The 23,714-nt window shown below is 39.4% G+C and overlaps 1 protein-coding gene across 10 annotated transcripts in view; it reads left to right on the top strand.

Moving 5' to 3' along the window:
- Positions 1-23,714, top strand: part of ZNF385B (zinc finger protein 385B) — a 419,631-nt gene that overhangs the window by 81,103 nt on the left and 314,814 nt on the right. For all 10 annotated transcript variants that reach the window (NR_148057.2, NR_148054.2, NR_148056.2 and 7 more), the window contains 2 exons: positions 9,838-9,989; positions 10,708-11,007. Coding sequence is in view for 6 of the 10 variants with exons in the window: in NM_152520.6 (NP_689733.4) it covers positions 10,710-11,007 (298 nt within the window). In the remaining 4 variants the exon portion in view is untranslated. The remainder of the gene's footprint in view (positions 1-9,837; positions 9,990-10,707; positions 11,008-23,714) is intronic.

The raw sequence follows: 23,714 nt of genomic DNA, 5'->3' as shown, positions 1-23,714 counted from the left end.
ACGGAAGGAAGCAGAGAGGCAGTGTGATGTTTACTCAAAGAAATTCTGCAAATTAGAGAATGAGAGCTGGGCTTAGCTCCTGAGAATTTTATATGGGACTCTAGCTTCCCAGCCATGATGTGGGTCAGGAGGCCCCATCCTGCCAGCCCTCTGGGACTCCTGTGCCTTAGAGATGAGAGGGAAGCATCTATGATCTGAGAAGAGGGTTCTGGGACAAACAGCCTGGACTTTTGTGTCTTTTCTAGGGGCTAAGGAGACCCTGGAAGTACTGCTGTTCATTCTCTAACATGAAGCAATCAAATGCTCTTTCCACATCTTGTTGGTGGCAGGGTAAAGTCTGTTGGTGGCTGCCTAGTAGAGTCTCAGACTAGAAAAGAACCTACTCTCAAATAGCGGCAATCTTTAGCGCAGTGGTTCTCAACATTGGCTGCCCATTAGAATCACCTGGGAAGGTTTATGCTCCTAGGCCCAGCTGCCGCAACCACTTACCCTCTCCTCCAACCCCAGCAGCAGACCAATTAAATCAGAATCTCTAGAGATGGGAATCTGGCATCAATATTTTTAAAAACTGTCCTAGGTACTTAAAAATTATTTCTTTAATGAATAAAAAAATATATAAACATCATATTTTAATATATGGGTACATTGTGGAATGGCTAACTTAAGGTAAGTAACATATCAATTACCTCACACACTCATCATTTTTTTGTGCCCAGGTACTTTCAAGACCCAATCGGGTTAGAACCATGGAGTCATCCCTGACACTAGTCTCTCCCTCTGCCCCCAGGCCCAGCTAATCCACCAGCAAGACATGTGGATGGGATGTTTCTTCTCCAAGTGTTTGGAATTCATCCACTTTTTCCACTGCTGTCACAATCACCCTCCAGGTCCAGGTGCCATTTTCTCTTGCCTGGAAAATTGTAATAGTCCTGAACTTGTCCACATCCACATGACACCCTCTCTACTCTGCACCCTGTTTTTGAATCCAGTTGTGATTTTTTTCACAGCTGAAATCTGATCATATCAGGCCCCCAGTTTAAGGCACTTCTGCACTTTCCCTAGACTGACAGCTCACATTGCCTGCAAAGGCCTGCATGACCAACCAGGCCCTGCTCTGCTCTGCAGCTTTATTTCACATCTCATTCTGCCCTGCTCTCTCTGCTCTAGATGAACTGGGCTGCTTTTAGTTTGTCACATCTGCCATCTTTCGTCTTGCTTCCGGACCTGTGCACATAGGATCTCCTTTGCCTGCAGTGTTTTTCCCTCTACTGCTCTTCATTCTTTAGCTCTTGGTTTCATCATCATCACATCTTGTCTGACTGCCCTGACCAAGGCAACCCCTGTTACAGCACTGTGTTTTTTAGAATACTGGTTATAGCTGCATTTGATCTATACCAGAGGAAAAAAGAACATCAACTTCTTGTTAATGAAATTGATGAAATTGTAGGTAAATATAATCAATTTAAGAGCTCAGCCCCAATACGTTTATGTATTTCAACCCTTGGCAAGTCTGTGTTGTTTAACCAGAACTCTGTGAAAATCATATGCATGTTTAAAAGGCTAGAAATAAACATGAATGATTATTATGTATCAATTATAAATGAAAAAGACCAGAAGTAAACATGTAATGTTTGTGGTTCACCTTTTTTTGTTGTTGTTATGCACATGTAACAAACTGTGGTTCACTTTGGTAGGAATATGGAAGATTTTTCTCCAATCTTTTTTATGTTGTTTGTATTTTCCAAAATTTCTAGAATGATAAAAATTATTTTTATAATAAATAAAAATGCAATAATTTCAAAAATGTGTCTAGATGGACTACATGGAAATTATGACTGGAAATAATACTAAGCTATGTAATGTGTTCTCTTTGACTCTACCTGTACTTTCCCACAAAACAAAATCCAGAGAATACCATTCTTGTTTGTAAACTTGTAAAGATGACATGAGAATTCAAAGAACTGAAAATATTACTTCTTTGATGGATGGGTCTGTCTTGTAGGAATCCATCCATTCAATTGCCTATGTTGCCTTCCACCCCTAGAATGTTCCATAGCAGGTAGAGCTCGGTCCCACCTCCCAGGAAGACTCAGCTGTTGACTTGCTGGAGTGCTTCCTGGACCCTCTTAGAAAAGTGTTTATGGTTACATTCCAGCCCTGGCAGTCGTAGTGGGAGGAACAGAGCTGCGAGATCTGCCCTTGCCCAGGTTTTTATGTTGGTTATGTTTTGCAGTTTGCTGTCTTGTGCTCTGCTGCTGTTTCATGCTGCACAGCAGTGCCATGCAGGGCAGATGGAGAATGGAATCTAGACTTCCTCATATAAAGAAGACTATGGAGCCCAGCCAATAAAGATTGTTCTTTCTCATAGCTAGAGGTATACCGTATACACATTTTGGTTGAATACCAAAAGCTAAGTGTTAAAATCAATATTTGACTAAGAATAAAGCCCAATTCTATGATTAAAAAAAACCTCTTGACAGGGAGGCTGAGGTGGGCAGATCACTTGAGGTCAGGTGTTTGAGACCAGCCCAGACAACATGGTGAAGCCGTCTCTACTAAAAATACAAAAATTAGCCGGGCATGGTGGCACATGCCTGTAATTCCAGCTACTCATGAGGCTGAGGCGGGAGAATTGCTTGAACCCAGGAGGCAGAGGTTGCAGTGTGCCGAGATCGTGCCACTGCCTGCCAGCCTGGGCAGCGGAGCAAGCATCCATCCCAAAAAGAAAAAAAAAAAAAAACCTCTTGATATAAGGAAGTAAAACTTGTATTATGAGTTAAGTATTACTTAATTATCTCTTTGAGGTAATAATTTATTTAGAGGTAGCAAAGCTGGTCTTTTGCTTTTAATTCATCTTTAAAAGATGAGAATAATTCTCAAATAGATTCCTTTTTTCCTAGAAAAGTTAATGCCATCATGAAATTAAAAAATATAGTGCTTAAGTATTTATTTATTATCATTACAAATATTAGTTATAGTATAATCTGATTTCCATCCTAATAGTATTTGTTTATAGATATGTGTATTTCAAAGTATGTATATGTTTTGTCCATAGTTATTTAGCTAGTGCTACATTTAGCTGTCAATTTATTTTTCTATTTAACTAATTAAGAATTTTTGTAATTGTTTTTTCATGAAATTAATAGCTTTCATGTTAATTATTGTGACATTTTATGTTTGTAAGAAGAAATATTTTTCCTTCTACTGATAGAGTCTCAATGTCATAAGCATAAATTAGTACTTTCAATTCTAGTTTTATCTGAAATACACATATACAATTGATATTCTTGCATTAAAAATAAAATCCATTCCTTGTTCTCATTATTGACATCATTACGCTATTTGTATATGATCATAACTTGAGATACTTTGATGATCAAGTATGCCAGAAAAGATACTGATTTACATAGACATTAAACAGTTGGGTCTTCTGAAGGCCAGGAACAAATTAACTATCAGCTTTTGGCTGAAGCTGAACTGTAGCTGAATTAATCATAGCACTTATTTTATTTTGTCAAAGATTTATGGAGAACCTTCTAAGTGCTAGACATCTGATTGGCTTTGGATCTACAATAATAAGTGAGAATAAAGTAAACTTATCTTCTTTACATTTAGGTAACATAAATGTCCCAGCCTGTTTGCCCATCATATTACCTAATTCAAAAAATAGTTCAAATATCTCCCCTACTAGCTGCAAGAATTCCAATGTTTTATCAGTTTTCCCGCCCTGAACATTTTTTGAGCCCCTGAGATATCCCAAGCCAGTTGTTGTTCAACATCTTAACCAGCTGTGTAGCTTTGGACCACTGCCTTCCTTGTTGTTGGTCACGAGCATCCCTCAGCCCATTGCTCCTACTCTCCCATATATGGCTTTCACCCCAGATGCCATCCCAGACTCTTGCACAATTCCCCCACTAATAGGAAGACCAACTGTGATGTTTGCATGACTTCACAGTTATGGTTTGAAGATTTTTTTAAAAGGTGCGGGATGTTATACAAGAGGATAATTCAACAATTGTAAATAGATATGGGGGTTCCCTGAGTTCATGGACTAAAACCCTCCTTAGGTGTTTTGTATTGTGCAAAGTCTTCTCTGCCCAGTCTCAGGCCTGTCACCCCATTTCAAGGGTCAGCTTACCCTTCCACAGCAGGAATGCCTGGAACAAGATTCACATGTCTAGATCCTAGGCCTCCTGTTCCCTCAGGCCCAGAGACAGTCATAGTCTCATACCTCTCAGTGTCCATTTCCTGCCCCCTGTCAATCTTCTGGTAAGACTGACAGTGAAAACATCTCTTCCTTCTCGCACCCATCCACAGAGGTGTGATCTTTCTCTTTAGTTCTTAGGATAATTCAGAACAACATCACTGCTTTCTCCAAAGTTGGGTTTATTCAATCAGGAATGACCCCAAATATGAGGTTCATGCAATATAGTCCAGTTTGAGCTTCAACAGTTCCAGGCTGTTCTTTCAGAGGTAAGATGTGGTCATGTTCTTGCAGCTTCCAGTCTCCACTGATCTCCTGTAGTTAACTGCTTGAACACATTCATCTCCCAGTATCTAACAAAAACTTTCAGGGACGATACAATTTAAATCCACTTGCAGGAAAGAAATATTTTATGAAAGAAAAGATAATTTGCAGAGAAGCAGCTGTGTCACAGTGAAGACAACCTTTCATATGATTGTGGAAAGCAGTTTAAGTTCCTTGGAGCTATATTATCTCCAGAGTCTCCATTACAGAATAGAGTCTATGCTTTACCTTCACATAATACGAAGATCCTCTAAGATGCTTTTTCCAAAATAAAGAAGCAGTGTGCCTCCAAAGCTGAGTTCAAAATTTTTCCCCAAGGGAAACAAACTGCTAGAAACATTTAAATGTCAGTTTTTCTGACTCAGCCATTGATGTCAAATAATCCCAATCTCTTGGGATTCACACTAGACCAGAGCACCCCAATTAAAATCTATTTCACTAGCACTCAATAAAGTGCCAGTAAGTACTTGGGGAAAAAAATGAGACCAATGAACTGTCTAGTGAAATCAATTGCTAAGGAATAATTTCATTCCAATGTAAGAAGTTCAAAGTATTTTGGGGACTGTTATGCAGAGAGTTCTCCACAGTCACTTTCCTAAACAATGAGTAGCAGAAGGATTGCCTCTTCTGGTTTATTACAAGCTTTTTATTTTTTAAGGTTCTTAATTTTATACATTTCTTTTACCATAGGGCCAAGTATAGCATATTGTCTATAATCAGTGTTTAATAAATGATTAGTTGAATTGGATCAAATATAGCCTTCCATATCTGAATCCTATTATGAAATATACCAAAACATTCAATGAAATGAACCCTCTCTACTGACCTTTTAGTTTTCTCTGAAACTCTATTTTGGGGAAAGGAATTGTGTATAATCTGGTACTCAGAACTCAACTTTTTGCCTCCCTTTGCAGCAGAAGATCAGGAGGCAGTACAAGGCATTTCAACATAGTTAAATGGGTAAAAAGCAATGCCAGAGCCCTATATCTTCTCCATCTATGTGTTTTAATCTTCAGAAAGTATTCCCCAAACTTTCCCACAATACCCAGTGTTCCATTTCCTGAGAAAGTTGGTTGCAGGAAAGGGCTAATGTCACATGGATGCTGACACAATATACCCATGTTTTGTCAGAATTTGAACTTTAAGCCTTATTTTTAATTACAAGATGAAAGACTGTCCTAAACAGTTGGGATTTTAGTTTGCAGATGAGTGATGATACTTTTTCCTTGGGGAGCACACCGTTATTACCATTCCTGATCTCAAAATGCAAACAGCTGTGGGCTTAGCCCACATACAAGCTAAAATAATTAGAAAACATTGACCTTGGCCGGGTGCGGTGGCTCACACTTGTAATCCCAGCACTTTGGGAGGCTGAGGCAGGTGGATCACAAGGTCAGGAGATCAAGACCATCCTGGCCAACGTTGAAACCCTGTCTCTACTAAGAATACAAAAATTAGCTGGGCGTGGTGGTGTGCCCCTGTAGTCCCAGTTACTCAGGAGGCTGAGGAAGGAGAATTGCTTGAACCCAGGAGGCAGAGGTTGCAATGAGCCAAGATGGCACCACTACACTCCAGCCTGGGCGACAGAGCGAGACTCCATCTTAAAACAAACAAAAAAAAGAAAACATTGACCTTGGTTACTGTGTTCACAACCAGTGCTACACACGTATACACCCATGCCCATACCACACACATATTACACATGCCACATATACCACACACACACACCCTCCACTATACCCACATATCCCCTACACTCCCCGTACATCCCACACACAGACCACACACACACTACATATACTACATACCCCATGCACACCACATTCATACACATCACAGTCACATATACCATACACAAACCACACACATATCACACACACTCCACACCTATACACCCCCGCACATACCACACACACCCCACACGCAAACCACACATCACATGTACCACAGACCACAAACACATAAAGCACATATACACACACATCACACTCACCTCCCATCCCGCTCACCTTAAACCCTCCCACACAAATACAGCCATTCATTTATTCAGCCAACATTTATTAAGTGCCTATTTTATACAAAACACAATCTTAGATGCTGAGGATACAAAGATGAATAAAACATAGTTTTTATACTCAAGGAGCTTGAAAACTAGCAAGGGAGGAAAATGTATACCTTTCCAAAGAATTTATTGTAGTTTATTGTAATTTCTTGTTTTCTCCTCTGTATTTCTCATTGGATTGTTTGGTCCCCTGAGACATCTCCTTGACCGTGTTCACTGTTTTCTCCCTGGCGTCTTGCCCTCTGCCTACCTATTCTGTAACAATATACTGAAATGAGTGAGTCAATAAGTAAAACCATATATATGTCATAAAACTATATAAATAATTAAACCAATAATATAAGAATTGTGTGTTGTGCTAACTTTGTGAACACAATGCCTCAGGAGTGCAGAGGTGAGAAGAGACTCGAGCGAGGGAGCATCACGAGGACATCAGGAAAAGTGGGGAGGAAGGAAACTGCCATCTTGGAATTGGCAATTAGAAGTGTTTATAGTGACTTTGCAAAGACAAGCACTACCTGTGGAAAGGAGTTGCAAGCCAAGTTGTTAGGGGTTAAGGAATGAATGGGAAGTGGATAAAACCGATTGACTTGAGTTGAGGAATGAGCCTTTTCACACTTACATAGAAGGGAGGCAGTTTCTTGTTCTCCATCTGATGTGGCCACTCTTGAGTCAAAGAATGTATTGCTGTACATATGCAACAGAGATGTCTTTACCTCTGGATCAGTTTCCTTTTTTTTTCAAATTATTATAGAAAACAATTGGATAACAATGCAGGTCAGGGAAAATCCTAGGGAAAGTTGTAACATTGGAAAATTTCCTGACGGATTGCATCCTAGTGATTTAAAATCACTCCTGTGGAAATTCCCTGACTGTCCAGTTTGAATTCATCAGCTCTTTCCTCCAAAAGCAGCAACTCAAGGACCAACATTTTCTCATTCTTTTGCCTGCACTAAAATGTCTTATTCTCTTATGAATGTTAAGTTGTTGGTCATCTAATCTGGTAAAATAATACAAAAAAAAGCATAGAGTTTTTGGTTCAGTTGTCCTGACTTTTCTTACACTCATTCCTGGCAGTCCAAAGCACAGTGCTGCCCACTGCTCTGTTTAAAATCAGACACCCCCGAAGGTCCTTCTCTCCCACTCAAGTGAAACATGTAATTAAGATAGTCTGATGAAAAAATTTAAAATAGAAAGTGAGATTTTTCTCTCTTCTTCCATTTAAACTCACTGTTAGTTTCCCCTTAGCAAGAAAGCTGACATTATAAATGTTATCACATTCACACATATTATAAGCCTAGAAATTATATCATCTCAGGCCAAAAGTGGATGCTGAGACTCTGATATCTTGCCTCTCTGCCACCTCTAGGTCATTTTCCCAAGACCTCTGCAGCTAAATATACTTTGGTTGCAAGTGGCTGTTAACAGAAGCTGATCTTATTTTTCCCCTGAGAAAGAGGGAAGTGTGAAGCCAGAACTAGGACTAATAAATTGGGATTTGGTGAACAGAATGCATACCCCACCCCCAGGCATTGGGTCTTTTCTAGAGTGGCCCATGAATGCGGTGTTGGAGGTTTGGGAGACCACTTGTGAGAATAACTCTTGGAGAAGGTAAAATAGGGTTGAAAAGTTATGGAGGATGCTGGTACTCTGAAGAGGTTACAGAATTCTAGAAGAGCCATTTATTTTTTATGGAAGATATCTTTCTTCCTACTTAAAATATGTATATTTAAATAAATCAAAAGTAGAATAATTTCCAGGATAAATGGCAATCATAAAAGCACAGGTAACATGGCTTTATTTTTAATAAGGTAATGCAAACAAAAAAGTCATAGGAACATTATAATGTGTGTCTTGTGTCTATGAAATACCGTGTGTTAATCTGCAATATGGACAAGCCTGGGCACCTCCAGGTTAAATTTTCAGATGAAAGTGTCAACAGTTCTCCTCTGAGTCAAGGATCTTGCTTCCTTGAGTTGAAATATAAGCTTAGGTTTCAATGATTGAGTACGATGGTGCCTGGCCTCGTTCTGCAAGGTTAAACGTTATTGGCTTTTCTTATGTTTCACAGTGGATTAGTTTTCTAGATAGTGCAAAATGTTAGTAATGAGCTTATTTTAAAAATCACTTACTTATTTCAACTAATTCTTATGATATGTTTTAATATTTTAAGAGAAGATATAGATATTTGAACATAACTAATATGGCACTGATATTTTCTTAAGGTGTATGAGAAAAGTGACTTTGTGATAACATAATATCTTAGGTTTAAAGAATAAAAGCAAAAATATTTATGTGCAGTTCAAACCCCATTTCAATTATAGCTGAATTATTTTCTGTAGCTTAGCTACAGGAACTGCTTAAACCTGATTTCTGCATAGTTTGAGCAGATTTTAAGGCAGGAGCTAAAAGGAATAGATTGACTTGGAAAATTTTGTGTATGAGAGTTCTTTAAAATGGCATTATCAGGTTAAAGTATTAAAAGGGACAAGTAGGTTTTGCATATCAAAATTAACAGTGTTCAGACAACCTTCACAATTGGATGTATGGGTATAAACAAGGAGATTTTTTGGCATACTATACATTAGAATCAATATCTGGTTTTATGGTCATACCTTTTCCGAATTTTAAACATCCTGCTTGTGAACACTCCAGATAGGGTCTTGTCTCTAGTAGCTCCTTCCTTTTCTTAGAGCTCTGAGACAACTTGGATCAAAAGGACTGTTGAAAGCCAATACCTTGCATTCCCCCTGAGTTTGTTCTATAAGAAGTCCCTTACAAGCCATGATCCTTCCTTCATATAAACCCCTCATCTCTTATGGCACAGCACTGCCACCTCAGCCATTCTTTCCCACACATACCCCTTTCCCTTAATTTTTGCCAAATTCCCCTCCCCTTTCTTTTTGGGAAGTGTCTTTTTATTTATTCGAATTGTAAACCAAAATATTGTTATAATCCCACTGATAATTTTGAAAATGCTGGTATTCCTGGTATTAACTAAAATGAAAAATTACATAAAATGGCACTGAAAAAAATAAAATGGCAAGGCAATCTTCATCAACCAAGGGTCTCAAAGTACTGAAAATCCCTTTCGAATCTTCCCTTAGTTTATAATCTACGTCTGTACTCTTATCTAAACAAACGAAGAAAACATCAACACTTAAAAATATAAAAAATTATTTCTTATTCTATTTCATTCCTTTTCAATTACCAGTTTACTAAAATTTTATATTATTTTGTATTTCAGATGTTCTACATTTCAACTCCATCAAATATTAAATTGATGTTTATGGGCTAACCTGGAAACCGAAAAACAGTTTGTTTCACTACAAGAATAAGAAAATATGTCCAAATTCCTGTCAGCTGACTTATAAAGGGACTTTTAGAACACAACCCAATGTAAGTTGCAGGCATACAGTATTTTGTTCTTTGTTACCTGCCCTGCAGTTAAGGCATGTATCTGTTTGTATATGCCCAGGTGTATGCTGATTGTATATATATTTGTGTCTACACATGAATATTTTCACAATTCCAGATTCATGACATCATTTATTCCTTTCTTCAATAAAATTTGAATGCCTATTATGTAACAGGTGCAGTTGTAGGCCTAAGGGATATCCAGAGACGAGGTGACTGTCCTCATAGAGCTCATACTGTAATGGGGAGACAGACATAAGCCAAGTAATTGCACAATTGCCTAAGAAATGCATACTCTGATAGGTGTCACATAGCACTATGTGAGCATATAACCAGATCTTGCCTTGTGTCCAGGGTCAGAAAGGGTTTCATGAGGAAGGTAATTTGCCAGCTGAGATCTCATGGGTGGGAAGTTAAGAGAGTAAAGAGGGTGGGAGGTGATGGGAAGAGGGGCAAGGATGGGGTATAAAGTGCTCCAGGTGAAAGGAACTTCTGTTCAAAAACCCCCAGGCACAAGGAACTCACATTCAAAGACCATACTTGCTTACTTAGGTACTTTTGATGATTTTTTTTCTAGTAGTAACCACTGGGTAGCTGGGCAACTTTTAGCTTAAACAAACCCTTAAAGATTAATTGTAATCATACTAGAAAATAAGGCATATATCATTTCAGAAGCACTTGTACTTGTTTTGTTTTTCAGGCATGAGGTACTCCTTAAGCCCTGACAACCATCTTGAAGATGGAATCATGAATATGGCAAATTTTCTACGGGGCTTTGAAGAAAAGGGGATAAAGAACGACAGGCCTGAGGACCAGTTGAGCAAAGAGAAAAAGAAAATTCTTTTCTCCTTCTGTGAGGTGTGCAACATCCAGCTGAACTCTGCAGCCCAGGCTCAGGTGCATTCCAACGGCAAATCCCACCGCAAACGAGTGAAGCAGCTGAGTGATGGGCAGCCCCCACCACCCGCCCAGGCCAGCCCCAGCAGCAACAGCAGCACAGGTAGGAGGCAGGGTCCCGGGTTCCATGTGCTGCGGGGAGAGATGGTCCTGGTCTGGAAAATGAAGGATTTAGAACAAGACTTAATTTTTACCTTAAAACTGGGCTACCATGATAACATGTACTCTTTCTCCTACAGGTAAAATACATGAGCTGTTTGTCACCTCTCGAAATATTTGTTACACCCACTGACATACACACTGGCACACACACATACACACATATGCACAATTTGTATATGGGTCCAGAGACTTCCTGTATCCCCACAATGTGTGAACACTTCTGAATGTATTTTGAAATGTGTTTAAAATGCATCAGTGATGTCATTTTTTCCCTCTCTTAAAATTAGCTTTCCTGGGTTTCCTTTATCTGCTTTCTATTGGGTGGCATACCACTTGATAGTATATAAAAAGCTACAGCTTTATTTATAACATCCTGTGATGCAGGAGAGGAGCATTAATCTTGCATGTTAAACTTGTCATATTCTTTTAGAGAGTTGCCAGCAGTGTGCTGGGTGTTCTAACAATAGGAACAGGCATTGCCAAAACCAACAAGGCTTCCCTCTGAAATCCAGCACCATCATCCATCGCTTTCACTTGCCTCTCACCCTTTCCTTGTGGGCTGGATAGAAGCAGAAGCTCAGGAATTTTTGCATTTCTGCCTCTGCCCTGAATTCTAAACAATCTTTCAAATCCTTTATCTTATCCTTGGGCAGCCCCTCCTCTTCCACATTGCTGGTCACTGGGTATCTTCACTGTGACAGAATTAAAGAAAAATGTGAAATTTATTGTTATCCATGGTGAAGATTTCTACAAAAGACAGTCTTCCTCCCAAGGTTTGAGGTGGGAGGCCAAGATAAGCCTCCTCCCAAATGTGGGGGAAGAGCTCCAAATTCTACTCTAGCAAGGGTTTGCTCTGTAATGAGGCCCCAGCTTGAAGTGAGATGATACAGAGAAAACATTTGTTGGAATTTCACTCAGTGCTGTTACATGGTTCTTGGTGTGTTGTAAATAAATTATTTTTATATTTCAAGCCAAATCTAACTACTTTTTACTCAGTTGATGATTTAATTTCATTAAATTGTTTTCTTAAGTCAATATTTAACATGCTGTGAAAGAAAGTAAAGGGGCTTACAGCATTTAAGGTACACACTTATAATAGTAGAAAAATTATTTTTCCATTTTCTATTTATTATAATTATTCCAAGGTGTATTCATTTACCTATAGTTATATATTAAAAATATAGTTAATGTTATGGCCGGGCGCAGTGGCTCACGCCTGTAATCCCAGCACTTTGGGAGGCCAAGGCAGGCAGATCGCTTGAGGTCAGGAGTTCAAGACCCTCCTGGGCAACATGGTGAAACCCTGTATCTACTAAAATTACAAAATTTAGTCAGGTGTGGTGGCACACACCTGTAATCCCAGCTACTCAGGAGTCTGAGGCAGGAAAATCACTTGAACCCAGGAGGTAGAGGTTGCATTGAGCTGAGATCACGCCACTGTGCTCCAGCCTGAGCAATAGAGCGAGACTCCATCTCAAAAAGCAAAATATATATATAAAATATATAATATTATATTATTAATAATATTATATATATATTTAGTGTTAGGTTCAAAACTGATACCTAAGTTAGAGCACACATAGCCTGAGTAAAAGTTTGAATTACATCTGTTATGGTGTAAATGTCTATAAATACCATAGTCATTAAAAATTATATTTCTGAAGAATATCTCATGATAGAGGAAATTGTCCAGGATATAATGCTAAGTGAAACAGCAGGAACTAAAGCGGAATATACCTAGTGCTATCATGTGTGCATGCGTACACTATCTACTGTTTAGAGCCTCCACTGAATGAGGTTCAAGCCTGACATCATTTCATTTTTTTTGGTCACTTTCCTCACTTTTGATCTATCAAATTTGTGTTTCCTGCTGGGTAGCAACTCTCTTAACACTCTCTCAACTCATAACTTCTCACTTTTGTGTATTCAGAAAGATTCTTTGATTTAGAAGATTCGGTTCTATTTATAAAAACATCATTTTATTGCCAAATTAAGATTTGTCTAGATGGACTCTAGAACTTAGAGTGGAGGGCTGGGCACATGAGCTTCTACCCTCCCCCTGCCTCAGCCTGCTCTTCAGCCTAGTGGTGGGAAACCATAGAAGGATAGAAAGGCGGAGGTTTACCTTACCTTACAGCCTCTGCAAGGTGGCAATGCTGTTCTTAATTGATGACTACTATTTTGGCTGTCTCTGTGGGACATACATCGTCTTAACAGACCCTGTGGATGAAGGGATCCCCCAGATTGTCCCTTAGGCATTGAGAGTCCCTTGTGAGATAGCTGCATCTTCCAGCTTACTCATAGTTGTTAGCAGAAGCCTTCATTCCTTGACTGTATGTGCCTCTTTCTTCCACACTGTGTTAGTCCTGGCAAGATTGTGTCGTCTGTTCTCATATGCCTCAATGCTGGGGGATTGAGGTCAGAATCCATCTGAGAATGAACATTCCTCTTGAAAACCTGGAACTGCTGGGGCCCAGGCAAGTACAGGTGGAGTGGACTGCGGGGGGCTTTTCTTTCCTGCTCAGGTAACACAGGGGAGGCTGGCAAGCCCACTGACAAAGCAAGCGCCTAAATAAGAAACAAAATGCCAGTCTTCCTTTTTTGCCCATCACTTGGCTTCAGAGAATATTGTGGGTTGAATTGTGTTTCTTCACACACACACAAAAAAATATATTGGAATTCTAACCCCCAGTACCTCAGAATATGACCTTATTTAGAGCTAGGGTCTTTACAGAGGTAATTAAGTTAAAATGAAGTCATTAGGATGGGCTGTAATCCAATATGACTGATAACCTTACAAAAAAACGGAAATTCGGACACAGAGACAGATATGCACAGAGAGGGAAGATGATGTGAGAAGAGATACAGGGAGAAGACAGCCATCTACAAGCCAAGGAGAGAGCCCTAGAATAGATCCTTCCCTCACAGCCCTCAGAAGGAACCAACCCAAGTAACACATTGATTTTTTATACTTCTAGCCTCTAGAACTATAAGATGATAAATTTCTGTAGTGTAAGCCACTAGTTTATAGTACTTTGTTACAACAGCCCCAGAGAACAAACACAGGGAAGAAAATCGAAGCCCATTTCATGCCCACAGAGAAAAATATGTGGTAGTAGATGTTCTTCCCAAGAACTGTTAATTTAAGAGGTGACTTCCCCTCTTCTGGGTCGGTTTTGTAGTGTTGGAGTTGGCATCGATGGGAATTGGGTCCACAGGGTGATGGTTGAGACTTGTTTCTAGTAATAAAAGGTGGCTGACCCCTAACCACTGGAAGTTCTTCTGCCAAATTTAGTATTCAGGGTATTTACAGAACTTTTAGATCTGAGCTTTAGAACAACAGGAAGATTCTTAGAGTGTACCTGAAACCAGTCTGCTGTGTGTGTGTGTGTGTGTGTGTGTGTGTGTGTGTGATCAATGTACCAAAGTGAGCAAGGGACTTGTGAAAAGTAGCAGCAAAATCCTTTTCCCAGCAGTGTCTCCCTAGCCAAATGTTTTATGAATACTCTGGGCGGTGAAAGAGAGACTCAAAGGGGAAGCAAAAAGAGCTGAGGTAACTTAGTTTGCATATAAAAGATCCCTAATGCTTTCCCCATCCAGTTCCAAGGGGTAAGTGGAAATAACAGAAACCGCAGATGGGTCTTGGCTTCCAGAAAGGAAAAAGTAGTTGTGAGTTTCTTTGTCTCACAGGGTCCACAAAGGCAGTAAGATCCTGGTGTTCCTGGCCCCTAGCAAGGGTGGGCAGATGGACCTGAGGCTGTCTCATAATTTCTTATGGGTTTAGGGAGTACAGAAGCTGCTGGTTGAACCTGGGAACCACAGGGACATAGTCTTTTCTGTTAGACTGGGACAGTGGCAGGACAATATTTTACATGTACCACAGCAAAGAAATACCTCACAGTTCCTGCATGAACTAATGACTAAATATCAGACAGAAATAAACATGCCTCAGCAGATGTCCATGTGCAGAAGTGACAGCCAGGCCATAAACACTGCTACCTGAGCCCTGGAACCATGTAAGCCCATAAGTACCCTCCTCAACCCACCCCAAATCTGGATGCAGCTCTGGGGAAAGTCACTCCATACTGCCTGAAATTAAATATCTATCATCACATGAGTTGGAGTTTGTACTAGGCAGCATAAATTATCATTAGCAGGTTTATACTTAAATATTGGCTAAAGGAAAATTTTCAACTAGAAAGGAAATGAAAATGAATCTTGGAGCTTTGAGAAGGAAAGAAGAAAGAACAATGGAAAGAATAGAAATATGGTACATAATAAACTACCTGTAGTAGGGTTCTCCAGAGAAGCAGAACCAGTAGGAGAAAGGAATTAGCTCACACAATTATGGAGGCCTCCAATTTTCAAGATCTGTAGGAAATCTGAAGACCCAGGACAGCCAATGGTGTTATTCCAGCATAAGTCCAAAAAACATGAGATTCAGAAGAATTGATGGTATAGTTCTAGTCTGAGGACTGGCTGGCTCAAGACCCAAGAGGAGCTGATGTTTCAATTTGAGTCTGAAGGCAGGAAAAGAAACTAATGTCACAGGTGGAAGGCAGTGAGGCAGGAAGAAATACGCAGAATAATGTGTAACCAAATATCTGAACATCCAGTGACCCAGTCAAGTTGACACATAAAATTAATCTTTACATTATCATTTTCTTCATGAGTTTTGTAAATCATATTTGATGACTGAAACAAAATATAATCATCTGATGCTAAAAACAGTGATATTTGAAAGTAGGAAAGTTAAATGCTGATACCAATAAATTGTCTGCCATAAGTCACATGTGTATATCATTATAATATTAATGGCAACCACTATGAAAACTATACAAAGAGATACAACCAAAATATAAATAAATAAAGATGGAGTCCTAAAAAGTGTTCAAGTAAACCACAGGACAGAAAGAAGAGAGAAACAGAGGACCAAGAAGCAAAGGAAAAAACAGAAAGCAAATAATAAAATGTCAAACTTAAAGGCTAACATCAATAATTACTTTAAGTGTAAATAGCCTAAATAAGCCAATCAAAAGAAAAAATGCATTAAAAAAAAACCCAACTATATGCTGCTTACAAGAAACTCACTTCAAAATCAATAAGAGGTATGTTGAAAGTAAAAGGATGGAAAAGAATATATCATGCAAACAGTAATTTAAAAAATAAAGGCAGGGGTAGCTATATTAATATCTGATGAAGTAGGGAGTAAAGAAATTTACTAGGGACAGAGTAAGACATTATGTACTGATAAGATATTCAACTCACCAGGAAGACCTAATGATCCTAAATGTTCATGCACCAGACAACAGAGCCTCAAAATACATGAAGCAAAAACTGATAGAGCAGAAAAAAGAAATGGATAAATTTACAATTGCAGTTGGGGACCTACTCTCAGCAACTGATAGGATTATTAAACAAAATAAGCAAGAATATAGAGGATCTGAACAATATAATCAACTAAAAGGATCTAATTAATTTATATAGACCTCTACTCAATAACAGTATAACACTATTTTTTCCAAGTGCCTATACAGCTATTCACAAAGGTAGACCATATATTGGACCATAACACAAACCTTAATGCGTTTGAAGGAACTGTAATCATATACAATATTTTCTCTGACCATAATGAAATCAAGTAGAAATTAGTAGTAGAAAAACAACAGGAAAATTAAACAATATATCTCTTAAATAATCTATGAATCAAAGAAGAAGTCTCAAAGGAAAAACTAGATGAAAATTAAAGCACAACATAGTAAAATATGTGGGATGAAGCTAAAGCAGTGCTGAGCTGGAAATTTATAGCCTTAAATGCTTATATTTGAAATGAAACAAAGTTCTCAAATAAGTAAGTTCCCGACCAAGAAGCTAGAAAAGAATAGATAAACCAAACCACAAGCAAATGGAAGGAAGAAAGTAATAAAGACCTAAACCAACAATCTGTGAAGTTGAAAATAGGAAAGCAATAGAGGAAAAGTCCATAAAACAAAAAGCTTATTCTTTAAGAAAGAAAAATCAATGAAATTTGTAAGCTTTTAGCAAGACTGATGAGTACAAGAAGAAAGAAGAAGATACCAATGAGATACATGATATTATGACACAACTTGCAGCAATTAAAAATATAATAAGCAAATACTAAAAACTTGTGTTTATAAATTTGACAAGTGAGAAGGATGAACCAGTCCTTCAGAAACCATAAATAACTAAAATTCAACTAAAATAAAAATAGACTATCTGGGCCAGGTGTGGCAGCTCACCCCTGTAATCCCAGCACTTTGGGAGGCTGAGGTGGGCAGATCACTTGAGGTCAGGTGTTGATACCAGCCTGGCCAACATGGTGAAACTCCACCTCTATTAAAAATACAAAAATTTACCTAGCATGGTGACAAGTGCCTGGATTCCCAGCTATTCTGGAGGTTGAGACAGGAGAATCGCTGGAACCCAGGAGGCACAGGTTGTGGTGAGCCAAGATTGTGCCATTGCACTCCAGCCTGGGAGACAGAGCAAGACTCCATCTCAAATAAACATAAACATAAATTTAAAAGTAGACAATCTGAATAGGCCTATAGCCATCAAATAAGCTGAATTTATCATTACAAAGCACTTGAAAAACAAATTTCTGGATTCATATGGTTTCAGTGGAGAATTCTACCAAGGATTTTTTAAACTGACACCAATTTTATACAGTTGCTTTCAGAAAATAGAAGAAGAGGAAACACTGCCCAACTTATTTTATGAGGCTAGTATTATCCTAATACCCAAATCAGACAACACATTATTTTTAGAAACCCTACAGAATAGTATCTCATAAACTTAGAGTAAAAAATTATCAACAAAATGTGAGCAAATTGAATCCAGCAATGTATCAAAAGAATTATATACCATAACTAAGTGGGATTTATTCCAGGTATGCAAAACTGGCTTACCATTTAAAAATTAATAATCTACCACCTGGGCATGGTGGCTCACACCTGTAATCCCAGCACTTTGGGAGGCTGAAGTGGGCATAGCACCTGAGGTCAGCAGTTTGAGACCAGCCTGGCCAACGTGGCAAAACCCCGTCTCTACTAAAAATATTAAAAAATTAGCTGGGCATAGTAGTGAGTGCCTGTAATCCCAGCTACTCAGGAGGCTGAGGCAGGAGAATCACTTGAACCTGGGAGGTGGAGGTTGCAGTGAGCCGAAATCACGCCACTGCACTCCAGCCTGGGCAACAGAGCAGGACTCCATCTCTAAAAACCAAAACAAAAACAAAAAAATCTACCATATCAACAAGCTAAAGAAGAGAAGTCACATGATCACATCCATTAATGCAGTAAAAACATTTGAGAAAACCCAACACACATTTTCAGCAAGCTAGGAATAGAGGGAAACTACCTTGATTTAAAGAAGCATCTAAACAAAGCCTACAGGTAACATCATACTTAATGGTGAAAGACCGAATGTTTTTCTCCTAAGACCAAGAGCAGGGGAAGGATGTCCACTCTCAATTCTCTTATTCAAAATGGTGCTGGAAGTTCTAGCCATTATAATAAGGCAAGAAAAACAAATAAAAATAAAAGCCTGTAATCCCAGTACTTTGGGAGACTGAGAAAAGAGGATCACTTGAGCCTAGGAGTTCAAGACCAGCCTGGGCAACACAACCTGTCTCTAAAAAGCAAAAAAAAAAAAAAAAAAAAGAAAAGAAAAAAAATGTTAGCCAGGCATGGTGGTGCACACCTGTAGTCCCAGCTACTCAGGAGGCTGTGGTGGGAGGATTGCTTGGGCTCAAGAGGTCGAGGCTGCAGTGAGCTGCAATCACACCACTGTACTCCAGACTGCGTGACAGAGTGAGAACCTGTCTCAAAAAAAAAAAATCAATTGCATATTATATTTATATACTAAAAATGAACATATGGAAATCAAAATTTTAAAATGCAAATACCATTTATAATCACTTCCTAATAAAATGAAATACTTATATACTTTAAAAAACATGTGTAGGATCTGTATGCTGAAAATTACAAAATGCTGAGAAAAGAAATGGAAGACCTAAATAAATGGAGAGACATACCACGTGTTTAGAAATCAGGATTAGAAAACTCAACAAGATTAAGATGCCAGTTCTCCTTAAACTGATCTATAATTTTCATGCAATTTCTATCAAAATCCCAGCAAGTTCTTTTTGTAGACATAGACAAGATTATGCTAACATTTATATGAAAAAGCACAGACCTTTTAGCTAGTTTAGCTACTAGCTAAAACTTGACAAAGAAGAAAAAAGGAGGGATCTCTCTACCCAATATTGAGGCTTACTATATGTTAAAGTAATCAAGACAGTGGTTTTATTGGAGAGAGAGAGAGAGAGATGAAAAAGACTAGAGAACCCAGACATAGATCCACACACACATACTCAATTGATTTTTTGATAAAGGTACAAAAGCAAGTCAATGGAGAAAGAATACCTTTTCAACAAATGGTCCTGGAGTAATTGAACAGCTATAGGCAACAAAACAAATAAACTTAGGCCTAAATTCTGACACCATATAAAAATATTAACTCAAAGTGAATTATAGATTTAAATGTAAAAAACATAAAAATTTAAAACTTCTGGTGGCTGCCCTAGAATTCCTGGGCCTGTGGCTGCATCACTCCAGTCTCTGCTTGTGTTTTCACAACATCTTCTGCTCTGTGTGTCTATGTCTTTTCTTCAGATCTCCTTTCTCCTCATCTCATAAGGATGCTTGCCGTTGGGTTTAGAGCTCACCTGTATAATCCTGGATTGTTTCCTCATCTCAAGATTCCTAGCAATCACATCTGCAATGAGCCTTTTTGTAAAAAAGATAGCACTCACGGGTTCCAAGGATTTGACATGCATATCTTTTGGGGGTGACTTGTTAAATTGTGGTACATCTGTACTAAGGAATACTACTCAACAATAAAAAGGAATGAACCCTTGATACATGCAACAACTTGGATGGATCTTCAGGGAATTATACTGAGTGGAAAAAGCCAATCCCCAAAGTAACATACTGTATGAATTCCATTTATACAACATTTCTGAAATAGCAAAATTGTAGAAGTAGAGGACAAATTAGTGGTTGGTAAGGGATAGGGGTGAGTTTCAAGAAGGAAGTAGATATGGGTACAAAACTGCAACATGAGAGATCCCTGGTGGGGGATACATGAATCTACACAGGTCATACACACACACACACACACACACACACACACACACGCACACAGGAATCCAGGTAATACTGGAGAAATCTGAATAAGCTTTGTACATCAGATCAATGTCAATATCCTGATTACACTATTATTCTATAGCTTTAAAAAATTTTGAGATCACGCCACTGCACTCCAGCCTGGGTGACAGAGTGAGACTCCGTCTCAAAAAAAAAAAAAAAATTTTTACTATGGGTAGAAGCTGGGCAAGGTGTTCAAGAAAACTCCATAATTTCTTACAACTGCATGTGAATCTCTGATTATCTTGATAAAAATTTCAGTTAAAATTTATAATAATGATGACCACCTAAACCCCCCAGTTTTCTAGTAGCATAATTAGAGATAATAGGAAACAGAACCCTTGGGGATTTTTCTTATTTTAAATATTACCAAGTTCCTATTTTACAGAGATTAACAGAACAATGTCTTAAGTATCAAGAGAAAATAAATATTTAAATAAGTGAATTGCAATATGGTATGCTAAGAACAATGACAGATCTACATGTAACGTAGATGTGGCACAGAAAAAGGAATGATTAACTTTATGGAGGTCAAGGAAGGCTTCTCAGAGGAGGTGATCTTTGAGATGAGTACTCAAAGATGAGTTTCAAATTATTCAAGAAAAAACATTCCAGGTATAGGCAATGGCAATGCAGATGCATGTAGGAACAAACTATAAATAGTTTCTTATTATTGGAGTGAAGTATGATTTGGGGGAAAAGAGGAAGATCCCTTTGCAAAGGTAGAAAGGAATCAGAACAGGAAAAAGGGTTTTCTGGTCCTATGGGAACAGAGGTACAGGAAAAACAGCTGCAAAGACATAGATAAGAAAGTCACAGGCAGCTGCTGGAATTCAGAGCTAAGTTGTCCTGAGTTCTCTCTGTCATTCTGGTTTATGTTAACTAGGAGCCTCTGCATCAATTCCAGACATCTCACTTAGGTATTGCTTCCCCAGGGTACCACACAATTGCAGAGCTTATTTTCCATGACCCATCCACAGCTTCCCAAGTCCAGATAAAACTGACCATATTAGTTCTCTATGTAGAACTAATATAGCTAGTGACTGACATCCTGCTCTCTGCTATCCATTCTCATTTAATATTAAAATTTTAAGACTAAAAAAAAGTTAGTCAAGCAAAGAGAATGGAGAAAAGTGATCCAAAGGGAATGAAGAGAATGCTCAAAATCTCAACTTGAGGAAAAGCTTGGTGTGTCTAAAAAGCTGAGATGTGGCTGAAACTGAGTAAGACAATTATTAATAGAAGGAAACACAAGAGAAGTTTGGAAAGGTCGGCAGAAGCTTTCAGAAAAAATTTTAAAACAATGTTTTTTTAATTATGATTCTGTGGGTCAGAAATGTGGGCTGGGCTCAGCTAGGTGGTTCTTGTGCCGGACTCATTGGTGCACACCCGTGGAGCTGCAGGCTGCTACAGAGTAACTGTCTTAGATGGTTTTAGATGGCTTCACACATGCATGTGGCAGTTGCTGCTGGCTGTAGGCTGGATAATTCTTACCAGTAGACCCCTCTTCAAGGAGATTAGACCAGGCTTTGTTACCTAGCAGTCACAGAGCAGTGTTGCAAGACAGCAAGAACAGAAGCTGCAACTTACTGCATTCTTTTGGTCAGAGCTAGTCACAAGGTGCTATGGTTTGAATGTTTGTGTCTCTCTAAAATTCATACATTAGAACTTAAACCCCAACGTGACAGTATTAAGAGGTGGTGCCTTTGAGAGGTGATTAGGCCATGAGGGTGCCACTATTATGAATGGGATTAGTGCTCTTATAAAAGAGGCTTCAAGATCTGCCTGCTCCTTCTGCTTTTTGACCAAGTTGAGGACACAGTGTTGGTTTCCTCTGGAGGATGCAGCAACAAGGCGTCATCTTGGAAGGAGAGAGCAAGCACTTACCAGTCACCAAATCTGCTGATACCTTGATCTTGGACTTCTTAGCCTTCATAACTGTGAGAAATAAATTTCTATTATTTAAAAATCACCTCAGTCTGTGGTATTCTGTTATAGCAGCAGGAATGGCCTAAGACACAATGCCAGCTCAAATTAGAGGGGTGGAAAAATAGACCCTGCCTTGTGATTCAAGAAGTGGCATCTTTTATTTGGCCTTAGAAATTTTAAACTAGCAAGATGGCCAAATAGGAACAGCTCCACTCTATAGCTCCCAGCGTGAGTGATGCAGAAGATGGGTGATTTCTGCATTTCCAACTGAGGTACGGGGTTAATCTCACTGGGGCTTGTTGGACAGTGGGTGCGGGACAGTGAGTGCAGCCCACCGAGCGTGAGCCAAAGCAGGGTGAGGCATCGCCTCACCTGGGAAGCACAAGGGGTCAGGGAATTCCCTTTCCTAGCCAAGGGAAACTGTGACAGATGGCACCTGGAAAATTGGGTCACTCCCACCCTAATACTGTGCTTTTCCAACAGTCTTAGCAAACGGCACACCAGGAGATTATATCCCGCACCTGGCTTGGAGGGTCCCACGCCCACGGAGCCTCGCTCATTGCTAGCACAGCAGTCTGAGATCAAACTGCAAGGTGGCAGCAAGACTGGGGGAGGGGCGCCTTCCAATGCTGAGGCTTAAGTAGGTAAACAAAGTGGCCAGGAAGCTTGAACTGGGTGGAGCCCGCTGCAGTTCAAGGAGGCCTGCATGCCTCTGTAGACTCCACCTCTGGGGGCAGGGCATAGCCAAACAAAAGGCAGCAGAAACCTCTGCAGACTTAAATGTCCCTGTCTGACAGCTTTGAAGAGACTAGTGGTTCTCCCAGCATGGAGTTTGAGACCTGAGAACGGGCAGACTGCCTCCTCAAGTGGGTCCCTGACCCCGAGTAGCCTAACTGGGAGGCACCCCCCAGTAGGGGCAGACTGACACCTCACACAGCTGGGTACCCCTCTGAGACAAAGCTTCCAGAGGAACGATCAGGCAGCAACATTTGCTGTTCAGCAGTATTCACTGTTCTGCAGCCTCCGCTGCTGATACCCAGGCAAACAGGGTCTGGAGTGGACCTCCAGCAAACTCCAACAGACCTGCAGCTGAGGGTCCTGACTGTTAGAAGGAAAACTAACAAACAGAAAGGACATCCACACCAAAACCCCATCTGTACGTCACCATCATCAAAGACCAAAGGTAGATAAAACCACAAAGATGGGGATAAAACAGAGCAGAAAAGCTGAAAATTCTAAAAATCAGAGCACCTCTCCCCCTCCAAAGGAACACAGCTCCTTGCCAGCAACAGAACAAAGCTGGACAGAGAATGACGTTGATGAGTTGAGAGAAAAAGGCTTCAGGTGGTCAAACTTCTCGGAGCTAAAGGAGAAAGTTCAAACCCATTGTAAAGAAGCTAAAAACCTTGAAAAAAGATTACACAAATGGCTAACTAGAATAACCAGTGTAGAGAAGTCCTTAAATGACCTGATGGAGCTGAAAACCATG

The sequence above is a fragment of the Homo sapiens genome, chromosome 2 (assembly GCF_000001405.40).
Source record: "Homo sapiens chromosome 2, GRCh38.p14 Primary Assembly".
NCBI classification, from domain to species: Eukaryota; Metazoa; Chordata; class Mammalia; order Primates; family Hominidae; genus Homo; species Homo sapiens.
This window is presented reverse-complemented; position numbering and strand designations above follow the sequence as displayed.